The 12,657-nt window shown below is 36.6% G+C and overlaps 1 protein-coding gene across 39 annotated transcripts in view; it reads left to right on the top strand.

Moving 5' to 3' along the window:
- BNC2 (basonuclin zinc finger protein 2) overlaps positions 1-12,657 on the top strand; it is a 461,168-nt gene that overhangs the window by 272,825 nt on the left and 175,686 nt on the right. For 2 of the 39 annotated variants that reach the window (XM_047423502.1, XM_047423498.1), the window contains exon 1: positions 11,281-11,520. The exons of the other annotated variants lie outside the window; for them this stretch is intronic. In XM_047423502.1, coding sequence (XP_047279458.1) covers positions 11,488-11,520 — 33 coding nt within the window. In that variant the 5' untranslated portion in view covers positions 11,281-11,487. Of the gene's footprint in view, positions 1-11,280; positions 11,521-12,657 lie in introns of those variants that run through there. 39 annotated transcript variants of the gene reach the window in all.

Genomic DNA, 12,657 nt, shown 5'->3' with positions numbered 1-12,657 from the left:
CGATAAATAAATAAATTATATTTAAAATAGATAAATTTATATTTTAAATCACAACTAGCTTTGTACAAATAGGAGCAGATTTATTTTGTACACTTAAGATTATGGGGGAAATGACATAAAAGCTCATGCAGGTAAAGCTTATGCCTTCTCATGTGTAAAACAAATATCTAAATATATGTCTATTTGTGTCCACATACAGAGTTAAAGGACACTTTTCCATGAAATAACACATTCCTTTAGAATTGCTGTAGATTTTCATAATTTTTTAAAAACATTTCTATTGTAACCTACATCAAAAGGGCAGCCAGCGTTTTTTTTGTCTGGCTATACATATGCATTATAAAAAAGTGAGTCTACTGTAATTACCAGTTTGCAGAGCAAATTCCTGCAGGGTTTGTACTCTCCCCATTAGTAAAAGTGATAAGTTGAAATGTATTAAAATTTCACTGTACAACTGGGAGTTTTTGTTCACAGTAAATGTGTTAATGTTTCTTCATTGCTTGACTGTTTGTGTTTAAATTTAGGCAGCGTGCCCAACAGGGACAAAATTATAGGATAAAGCTATGTATAAAAGAAAATCCTTCAGAGAGCACCAGTAAGGCTCTTTTTAAAAATAAGCAGTTACATACAATAGTACATGGCTGTAGCCACAGAGAAAAGTTTTATCTGTCTAGTTCAGAATTATTGGAATTTTTCTTTCCCTTGTGTAAAAGTTAAGAGGACCGAGCTTATGTCAATAGCTAATATACTTTGATGTAAAAACATCCATTATTTTATTCAGTGTCACTTCTATAAAAAGAAAAAGAAATGATTTCTTTTTGTTGTTCCTATGATGAAGAGAAGCTAATAGCATTTTGAGAGAGAGGTGATAGATCACATTTTCTTCCCGAGTAAAGGAATTCTTTCTTGTTAAGAATTCTAATTACAGCCTGTTATATTTTTGGAGTATTTTTCTCTGCTTTTCTTCGTTGCCATGAACTTAGTAAATACAATTATTCATGTAGATAGGCTTATTTTTTAAAAAATTAATCTACAACCACAATCACCTAGCATGAATATGTAATGAAATTCACAATCACAGGGTAAAGGCTCCTGTTTCTCTGCAGTCTAGAGAGGGCAGAAGTTGCAGTTATCTGAAAATGCTGGCTGTATAATCGTTGGCCAGCCAGGGAATCAACTCTCCTCTTTCTCTTAAATGTTCAAAATATATTGTAGTTTTTACTGTTTACCTTTTGTAGTTTCTTCTGCCTGCTTCTCTGTAAGTGAAAATGAAAGAATTTGCCAGTATCCATATTCTGTCCCAAATGTCTCCATAGATCCACAAACAAATGGTGTAAAGAGGTAAAAATAAAATACGAATTTTCATTTTGCATTGTTGCTATCTTAGAAATCGGGTTTTGCAATTTACCTAGTGTGTGTAGATATCTGGAGGGGAGAGAGAGAAAAATATGAATGTATATGTGTATGTATTTTAGTGGTTTGTATTTGTACATTCACGTACCTATAGGAAAACATAAAAAGCCCCTTGGATATTTCATACTGTATATTAGCTTTCCTTCAGAAAATATATTTTTCCCCTTAAATAGGTTGATCTCCCCTGCCCCAAGATGTTTAATTTTTATTTCTTCCTCTACACTGTTCTTTAAAACATGAATTTGTAGCTGATAAACCTTAAAGTCCTTCATAGCCATTACTTTCTTTTGACTAATTTGTAGAAAGGCACCATATGAAAATTGGATTTTTGATCTGATGGAGTGATTCTTGAGTTCTTACGAGCCATTTATAGTCTATCAAGTAAATCCTTCTTAGTTCACGGATTATTGACCCAATGGACCATATTAGCTGCTTCGAAGCTGTTATAGCCCATTATGTTGATTCAGCTGACACACATGTGAACCCAGTCCACATGCCCAAGATGACATTAACGTTGTTCTAGAAGACTTTTTTTTTCTCCACAAGGCTTTGTATTTATTTCTTAATTTTCAAGAGTTAGCTCAAAGTTCCTGACAACCATTACATAGGTCTCTTGCTTTGCTCAGTGATGTTGAAGCATTTGTTTTTAGCTAGTCAGTCTGTTTTTTCCTGTCTTTCTCTTTATGTCTGTTTTTAAAAACCATCTAATCTTTAAAAGAAAAAAGAGAATAATTTTTTTTCAGCATACTAGCACACATTTTACCTTCAGATTCATATAGATGTCATAGAAATTTGTGGAATTTCTCTGAGCATATGAATTTAGCCCTTTGAATTTGAGAAAACCACCTTTTAGAAGAAATGGTAACATTGTATTTGTGTTTTTTAAAAATGTATTACCTGAGAGGTTTCACTTGAAAAATTCCAGTGACTCTAGCCACTGGTAAAATCAAGATGTGCCTTCATTGATTTATGTGAAGCGCTAATGAAGCCAGTCCAGGTCTCAGCACAGACCCCTGGGGAATCTATGACCTAACATAAATAACGTATAAGGGGGCACATAGACTGTTCATCATATCACTATTATTATTTGTAACAGGTATGATTCCTTTGCTGATACCTGCTTTTAAGTGAAGAAACATATTCTTTTATAATCAGAGATAATTATGATACACAGTTAGATGTACAATAGAAGGTATTAAAATGTTTGTTGAGATGTGTCGCTGATGGACAGTCCCAAGACAGGTATAAGTAAAATGCTGTAGAATAAACCAAGTGTTCCTGGGAATATCTTGTCTCACTGTTTTCAGATTTTGACATTTCTTAATATAACCATATAAAGACTATAAAATACTGTGCTGGGTCACTTTCTTTATTTAAAAGTGTACCACTTTTTGGCAGAAAATCCTAGTATATATGGTTAACTGCTTACTTAGCATTTTCACTTTTCAAGTTGCTTAAACCTTTACCCATCCCTCTCCCTTTTTGTGTAGTTTTGTTCACATCTCCTATTTGGTTATAAGCTCCTATTGGAACTGAAAACATATCTGAGGAAATCTCAGATTTGTTTGAGGAGGAGGGGAACAAGGGGGATTATCAGGCTCCTTTCCTCCCATGCCCAGGCTGAGTAGAAAGAGCCCTGGATTAGTAGCTGTGGCCATTTAGGGACATCTCAGAGCCTCATTTTCTGCTGTTTGAAAAAATCTCTAATTTTAGGGATTTTGATGATTAAATACAAGAATGTATTTGAAATGTTATGCAAGCTTCATAGCACTGTACAAACATGGGATATTATTAGTCTTACAGTCTGTCTCAATTGGCCTGGGTAATCAGTTGTCATCTGAAATGTTAAATTCTAAAACGTAACAACTTTTCTCCCCTGTTGCTTTACTGGGGTAAATTTTATCACAAACCTAGAGGAGTAAATTTAGTTAAAAGGTCACCTACCTATGCTCTTGCTTAGGAAATGGATTGATTACAGTGCTTTGGCATTTGAAATAAGGTGGGCAGCTCCTTTTATAAAGAGGGTAAAGATTTAGAGGAACTCCTTTCTTTAGGGAGCCCTTCACATTGCATCTGGGAAGGGAAAGATACTGACTTAGGATGAGGTGTTATATTTGGCACAACTTGGGACAACTTTTGTGTTACTTCTGTACATCTTTGCTTCGTCACCAAAGTGTGTGATAATCATGCAAATCGATTGTTCTTTCTAGGATTGGAGGTGCTTTTGAAACATACCAGAATTTAAGCTTCATCTTGTCTTGCTTCTTGCTTAATGAGGAATAGTTTCTTTGTAAAGTGCTTAAAGGTTTATAAGTCTTTTTGCATCTCATTATAAATCCTGTCCTTATTAATGTCTTCTCTATCATATTATATTAGTAATTGTTTTCATGAATGCCACAGAGAAATGTAATCACATTACCATCTTTCAAATTGCATTAGTGAAAATGAATAAAATATATATCAATGGAATACAAAATTGCTGATTCAACATTAAGATGAAATGAGATTATTATTACTTAGCATCATCAGATATGAGAAGTGCTTTGCCTCCTTCTATAAAGTTAGGTGTTCTGGTAAATATAGACTGAGTTAAAATGTGTGTTTTTCTTTTTTTAATGGCGAGCTAACCCCTTATTTTCAATTAGGTGATAGGTCTGTTCATGGAAGGACTATTTACTTTCTATTTATGTTATTACAGCTGCCTAAGTAGCCTGTAAAATTTGTAAGTATACAGGCAATAAATGGAGTATCTTAATTGTTAAATGTTAGGTAAGAAAATAAAATGTTTTTGCCTAAATTGAAATGCCTTTTCATTTCATGTTTCTTTAATATTACTAATTGCCTAACAAAATCGCATGTATTATCATAGGCCTAATTTAATTGAAACACACACACACACACGCACTCCAAAGCTTGCGTATGCTTTGATGCCATAGAAGCATGGGTATTTTCCTTATATAATTGGCTATATCCCGCTGTTGATTTTTACTCTGAACTTCTAAATTATTTAAATGGGGCCTTTCTTATATCGATTGATAGTAGGTTGTGATAGTAGGTAATGACTATGGATGCTTATTGGATCTCTGTCTGGGAAAATTTATATGCCTGTGTGTGTCCCTTTCTCCCTGTTTGTATTTATATATTCACACAGTTGTAGAAACATTTACACTCATATATAAACATATGCCCAGAAGTTTCTGGTTTTCCCTCTTTGCCTATTCCCCCTAAGCCAAATTTGTATCTTGGCTTTTGCTGAAATAATTTTTTTCATCACAGTAAATTGAGGATTTTTTTTTTTGCTGGTATACATGACAGAATTCAGCATTGTCAATTTTTAACAAATTATCTTAGAATTTTTTTAATACTTTGATATTAATATTGCTGAGCATCATAACTGAGAAGTTTTGTTTTTGTTTTTGCTTTTGCTTTTTTGCCCCGCAAATATTTGAAAGATGTACTGGATTTTTCCGGATAGAAAAATGGCAGTGGATTTTTAAATGGATATATTAGGTTTTAATATTTTCAAAGTAGAAAGGATTTTCAAATATAAGCAACAGTAAAATTTCTTTGTTCACCGTCCGTGTATTAACTCACTTAGCATTTGTGTATTGGAGACCTACTGGGCAAAAGATGTGCTGCATTATGTCTCCTGGGGAATGATATCTTATGGGATTAAATGGTTTTAACACCACTAAAAGAAAGTAGGTGGGGCAGTGGGATTCCTCCCACCCTTTCCCTGTTTTAAACAGCTTGATTGAGATATGTTTCACTTACCATACATTCCACCCATTTAAAATACTCACTGTATTTTACTATATTTATGGTTAGGTTCAGTTATCACTGAACATTTTTATCACCTCAAAAAGAAACTCCATGCCCTTTAGCTGTCACCCTAAGCCTCATCCCCCACAAGGCAGCCACTAATCTACTTTTTATCATTACATATTTCCCTCTTCTGAACATTTCATCTGAATGGAATAATAATATTTGGTCTTTTATGACTGGCTCCTGCAACTCAGCTTAGTGTTTTTCATGTTCATTCATGTTGTAGTATGTATCCGTGGTTCATTCCTTTTTATGGCCAAATAAAATTTCATTATATTAATATACTGAATTTTGTTTATCCATTTGTCAGTGGATGGAGGGATAGCGTTTTATAAAATGAAGTTTTAAATCTCCTGATTTTTAACATCATTTGATGTTCAAAGGTCAACTTTTCCCAGTGAATCTCTTTCGATTATTTTGGATGTGTTTATTGTGAAGATGATGTATTTCTTTGGTTCATAACATTTTTCTCAAGGTTTTTTTTGGGGGGAGGGGAGGGGTGGTTAACCATCTTTAAATTGCCCAGCTTTTTGTCTTTTACCATGTTGCCTGCAGTTTAAACCAATGGTACCTGGCCTTTTAGTGAGTCCAGCAAACCCAGGCTCTTGCGAATCTCCTGTCTCAGTTATAAGATCTAATGTGTTTTTTCGTTGAGAAGACACCAAGAAATTTCAGAACACATTAAGTACAACAAAATAATCATTTTTTACCAGCTTGCTATTTCTTCATATGACATTAAAAACAATTAGACAAATGTAAGGACCTTTCTTTGAATTGTTAATTAATTTTTAATTTTCTGGTTACCACCAAATAAGAGACATACTTTTAGGTATAATTTTCCATCATATGAATGTTTGAGTAGATTTTTTTAAGGAGACAGAATAACTTCATTGTTTCTCATTTGCTGCTGTTACTATTACATTAGGAGTAGTGACATTTGCACTATGGTTTAACATGCTTGTGGACCCTTAACATTTATAATCAGTTTTATAATCACTGATAATCATAGCATGTAAATTCTGTGTGCATTGTTCATTCAGACTTAGATTTATGTATTTCTTTGTATAAATGGAGAAAACATACCCACCTTACTAAAACTATAGATTTATATTAATACTCTCATGGTCAGAATTAGATAGACGTTTTAGGTTGTTAATAAAGCTTTTTTGTGGGATGTTTAAAACCGTAGATCTTTTGACCCATGTTCTGTATCTTTCTGACTCACCTCTTCCTTGTCTCCTTTTGATACTTGGTTGCAAAACTCTTCAGTACAACAGGTGGATATTCTTTTACATTCGTCATAGATGAGTTTTGTAATCAAGTACAAGTGAAATTGATATGTAGTCTTGTAGTTCATGCTGGTCTTAAGTAAGCTTAGTAGTTGTCCACCGTGCAAGAAAAAATGCAGAATTTTTTCGCTCAAGCTGTATTGTGATGTGGCCAGTTAGGAAGCTGATTTCTTCTCCCAAGGCAGTATTATATAAATTCTGAAAATTATACAGGGAGATATTTGCTGACTTAATCACCATTACTATCATGTGAGTTTTTTAGTCTTTGTGGCAATGTTTGAAGTACTGTCTTAGCATATCATACACAACCTATATAAAAGTGCTTGTTTCATCTTTTTGGTCATGTTTATAAGATCACTCTCTGCATCCACAATGCTAGCAAGCCATTAGTTTGTTTATTGCAGTGTATTCTATGGCAATCCTGGAATAATTAGCTTTCAGATTCATTACAGATAATTTGCTATTCCAGATTTTCGTCCACTAGGATAGACGTCTTTTGTGTGTGTGTGTGAGATGAAGGTCTCACTCTTCCATCCAGGCTGGGAGTGCAGTGGTATGATCATGGTTTACTGCATCCTTGACCTCTGAGGCTCAAGCAGTCTTCCCGCCTCAGCCTCCCGCGTAGCTAGAACCACAGGTGCATGCCACCACGCCCGGCGAATTTTTCATATTTTTATAGAGACGAGGTTTCGCCATGTTGTCCAGGCTGGTCTTTGGCTCAAGCTATGTGCTCTCCTCGGCCTCCCAAATTGCTGAGATTACAGGCATGAGCCACTATTCCCTGCTAGGATAGAAATGTCTTTGAAGAACAAATTTTCTTTTTTTAAGCCAGGCACAGTGGCTCATGCCTGTAATCCTAGCACTTTGGGAGGCCGAGGCAGGTGGATCACATGAGGTCAAGAATTCAAGAACAGCCTGGCCAACATGGTGAAACCCTGTCTCTACTAAAAATACCAAAATTAGCCAGCCATGATGGTGGGCGCCTGAAATCCCAGCTACGTGGGAGGCTGAGGCAGGAGAATCTCTTGAACCTGGGAGGCGGAGGTTGCAGCGAGCCAAGATTGTGCCATTGCACTCTAGCCTGGGCAACAAGAGCAAAACTCTGTCTCAAAAAGAAAAATTAAAAAAAAATTTCTTCTTTTCCCTCCATTAGAGCATTTTATTAATTATTGTGATGCATTTTCTTTTACCGCTGTACATACTGGCTAATTTTTATATTTTTTGTAGAGACCGGGTTTTGCCATGTTGCCCAGGCTGGTCTCGAACTCCTGGGCTCAAGCCATCCTCCTGCCTCAGCCTCCCAAAGTGCTGGGATTACAGGTTTAAGCCACCACACCTGAGTGGCTGCTTATGTTAATGACTAGCTTTTTCTATAATTTAATATTAATGTAGGTCATGTACTTAACTATTAAGCATTTTAAAATATTTTAAAATTTCATAATTCATATTGTAAATCTTGCTATACTCTCCAGAAATTAACAAGGGGAAAGAAGAGTTAAAAAGGTTTTTAGGGCCAGGCACCGTGGCTTACGCCTGTAATTCCAGCACTTTGAGAGGCCGAGGCGGGTGGATCACGAAGTCAGGAGTTTGAGACCAGCCTGACCAACATGGTGAAACCCTGTCTCTACTAAAAATATAAAAAATTAGCCCGGTGTGGTGGTGCGTGCATGTAATCCCAGCTACTCAGGAGGCTGAGGTGGGAGAATCACTTGAACCCTGGAGGCGGAGGTTGCAGTGAGCTGAGATTGCACCACCGTACTCCAGCCTGGGTGACAGAGTGAGATTCCGTCTCAAAAACAAACAAACAAACAAACAAACAAAAAATGGCTTTTAGGCCAGGTGCAATGACTCACACCTATAATCCCAGCACTTTGGGAGGCTGAGGCGGGCAAATCGCTTGAGCTTAGGAGTTTGAGACCAGTCTGGGCAACATGGTGAGACCCTGTCTCTACTGAAAATACAAAAATTAGCCAGAAGTGGTGGTGTGCACCTGTAGTCCCAGCTACTTGGGAGGCTGAGGTGGGAGGATTGTTTGAGCCCAAGAGGCAGAGGTTGCAGTGAGCCGAGATTATGCCACTGCACTCCAGCCTCGGTAACAGAGCGAGATCTGTCTCAGAAAAAAACAACAAAATTTTTTTTTTTAGTTATGTATGGGAGATTGGTGAAGGTTAATGAACCCATGAAGGGAGCTCCTTGTGAATAGTTGTTTTTGGTTTTGTTTGTGTGTGGAACACCAAAACCCAGAACCGGAATCAGTTTTTTCCCCTCTCATTATGATTAGTCGTTCAGAATATGTGCTTTATGCTTCTATTTGCCCAAAGGCCATATTTTGCATTTTTAAATTTGCGTCAGATAACTGGGATAAGTGTCCCTAAACAACTGCTAATAGGAGTTTTATCAGTTAGCCTTGTGTGTAGTTCTTTTGTGAAGTACCCTATATATTTACTGAAACAACAATTTGTGCTTTCCTGAGAAATATGATTTGGTCAGAAGATTGGGGTTCAATTCACATAAACTTGCAGAATTGGAACCAACTGTAGAGCTAGAGACCTCAGCTTTAGTGATAACAGAACCTATCCTCTGTATTAGAGCTTTGGAATGCATCCAAAATACTTTCAAATGTACTTTTATTTAATATTCAGATATAAAAGTGTTACTGACCAAACATTGATTAGTTTTTTTACTAAATTATTCTTCTTTGTATATTTTAGATGTACTTTTGCATATGAATATTTATAATTATTTTTATTGTAAGTTTTCTTTAGTTTTCTACAGGTAATGGAAATAAACTGAGTCATAATTGGGAGATTTGTCTTCTTCTCCACTAGATCATTTAAGAGCCGTGTAAAACACATAAACGTTTCTGAACCATAATAGTAAAACAGAAATAATAATCTGTGTGCCTACCTTAGAGGACTATAGTATGAATAATATGGTATTATGTATGTCAAAGTGTTCATTTATTTATTAAGACTAAATATGTGTTAAGCAATTTGCAAGGTGTTGGAGTAAAACAATACATTGGGAAGAATCATAAGAGAGAAAACAATCATTTAAATGTAATATGTGGAAAGTTTCTTGTGGCCATAAATGGTTGTCATTTATTGAGCTTTTCCTGTTGCCGGATAGGTTAACACTTACTTTTTCTTCATTATTTCATTTGAGTGTTTTGCCACTGTTGCAATGTCATTGTTACTATCATTTTACAGATGAGGAAGCGGGCTCAGAGAATCATGTATTTTTAAAGTGCCTTTTGAGCACCTGTTATTTGCCACTATACATTGAAAGCCCAACAGACATGTCTATCCTGCCCTCATGGAACTTAAATTCTAGAGGGGAAAACAAACCCATATCGATAATCACACCAATAAATATAATATTCACAACCTGTACTAAGCATTATGACAGATCAATTATGATACAGAAGTCTAGTGGGGAACTTGTCTTGAATGGGAGACAGGGCAGCTGCCCTGGGAAATGAGTGGTACTTGAACTCCAAAGAATAAGTAGCCGTTAACAACTTAAGCAGGACTTGGAAGGAGGGAAGCTAGAGAGCACGGTGTTGGAGAAGTAGGGATTGAGAATTTGGATAGCAGAGGAGTCAGCTGTCCAACCAAGGAGAATGGACAGCCACTGTTTCTACTCTAGTAGGCAGAATCTGACAGGAGGGTGAAAATAACCTCAGTCAAGCAAATAGCAATCAACCGTGTGGATCTCTTAAGAAGAGAGAATGTTCATGCAGATGGGGAGAGAAGAGAAACGTGTAGGTTAATTAGGAGACAGTTTAAATAGTCTAGAAAAAAAGACTGGAATTATGGTAGTAACCGTGAGAATAAAAGACAGGAAAGGAAGGGATACATAATCTTTGGAGAAAGGCAGAATATCAGTGAAAACTCTGCCCTATAACTTGCTGTGAATGGAATCGTAGCTCAGGATTCTTAGCTCAACGTGATGGTGCACGCCTGTAGTCCCAGCTACTGGGGAAGCTGAGGTGGGAGGATTGCTTGAACCTGAAAGGTTGAGGCTGCAGTGAGCCATGATCTCACCACTGTACTCCAGCCTGGGTGACAGAGCTAGACTCTGTCTCTTTGAAAAACAGAAGGAAAAAAAAAAAAAAAAGATTCCTAGTCAGTGGAATGGAGAGTTGTTTCTGATTTATAGATCTGTGACTTTACTAGTTGATTGACTTTAGGTAAGTTAGTAAATTATCTCTACCTTAGTTTCCTCTGTGAAATAAAAGTAATAGTAGTAACAACTTTATGCTATTTTCTGAGAACTAAGAATGCTGATGTTTGTAAACTCTGTAGCACAGTGTCTGGAAAATGGAAGATATTCAATACATCTAGCTATTATTATAACAGGTAATAATTTACTATTGTAAATAAATAAATTAAAATCCTGAGGTTTGGTAGAGGAGGAATAATGCATAGGAGATAGTCCTCCAATCTGTGTAAGGGTTTCATTTATGTTCTTAGTTAGGGTCTCTCCTCTAAACTCACTGCCCCCAAACCCCAAACTATCAAGTCCTTGATCACAGGGACACTGCCATCCACTTCCCACCACTTAAGAGGCAGTGCCTGGCTCCACAGTGACGGTTTTTGCTTAGTGGTGATATTTGAAGCTGTAGGAGGGCGTGAAGTTGCCAAATTAAAGAATGAAGAGCTTGGCCATGGGAAACACCTGTATTTATTTACAGTGGAGAGAGAGAGAGAGAGAGGAGAGAGCAGTTGATGCCAGAAAAACTAGGATAGTCAGTCTCTACAGCCCAGGAATGAAGGAGAGTTAGTGCAGCAAGCTGCATCACAGTCTGGGAGGACAAGGAGACTAGAAAAAAGGACCAGATGGGATGAGAACATTGCCTCTCAGAGAGACAGTTTCAGGCACGTGTGGGGCAGAATCTGGATTGTAGAGTTAAAATGTAGGTGGTGGTGAGGAAGTGGGAGCACTGGTTGCTGGGTGCATGGATTTCTCTTTCAAGAAGTCAATGGTAAAGGTAAGCAGAAGGAATAATTACTTTCAATAAGGTGCAGACTTAAGAAAATGTATGGTTGTTGTTATGGTTGTTCTTGGGGAGTTGGGATATGCTGATCATCTTCACTGCTGCCTCCATTCAGCTCATGTCTGAGAGCCTCCAACCCTCTTCTGGGCACTCGGAACAAGACCAAGCTGTATGTGGTACATTCTGTGAACGACAAACTTTGAAAATGCAGGTATAAAGAAAAGAGCAGACAGTTTCCAATAATGGAAATTGAGGAAAGAATTACAAGGCACCCTGGCACCCTTGTTAGGCTGGGTCCTGGAGGCCTGCTTTACCCAGACCTGAATACTAATCTCTGCATAGATAGGTGGGAACACTCTGACTGAACTCTCTGCTCCTTTCTGCATACCTGCATTTTCAAAGTGTGTAGTTCACAGAATATAACAGCTTGGTCTTGTCCCGAGTGCCCAGAAGAGGGTTGGAGGCACTCAGACATGAGCTGAATGGAGGCAGCTGTGAACATGCTCACAAGAATGAAAGCATATTCATTTCGACTCTTCCCAACTGTCTCCTTGTAATGCATGTACATTTTTGAGGCTTAACTGGTTTTGATAGTTTTATGATAACTTATGTTATTTGCGTGTGGGTGAGTTGGCCAGTGATCACGTTGGTTCTATTTTGTTGTGAATAAATAGTATGTCAAAGTTTTATGCTGTTTCAAAAATGTTATTTAGAATAAAACTTCCTTTGAAGCGGCAATAGTCTCTTACTCAAAATATTTATTTAGACCATATTGTTTAAATATATATAATTCTCTTAAGGGAAAATTGTAGTCTATATAAATCTGAATTTAAAACAAATAGACCTTCTGGAATTCATAGATATACAAAATGGATATTCTAGTGCTTAAGTGTTTATATACAAAAGGAGTTGAGGTGTTCCAGTGTTTGCATGTTTAGGTACAAAAAGAATAGAATTCATAAAAAGGAATAATGATCTAAAAAGTTGAATTCCCGAATGTACCAAATGTGTAAAGTTATTTAGGAAGACAAAATATTTGAATCATAAACTTGTTCAGAGTAAGTGAATGAATGATTCAACCAGTAAAAAAAATAAATACACATAAAAATAAATCAAATCCACAGTCTGTTA

Source organism: Homo sapiens, chromosome 9 (genome assembly GCF_000001405.40).
Source record: "Homo sapiens chromosome 9, GRCh38.p14 Primary Assembly".
NCBI classification, from domain to species: Eukaryota; Metazoa; Chordata; class Mammalia; order Primates; family Hominidae; genus Homo; species Homo sapiens.
Note: the sequence above shows the minus strand (reverse complement) of the source record. Positions and strands in the feature narration are given on the sequence as shown.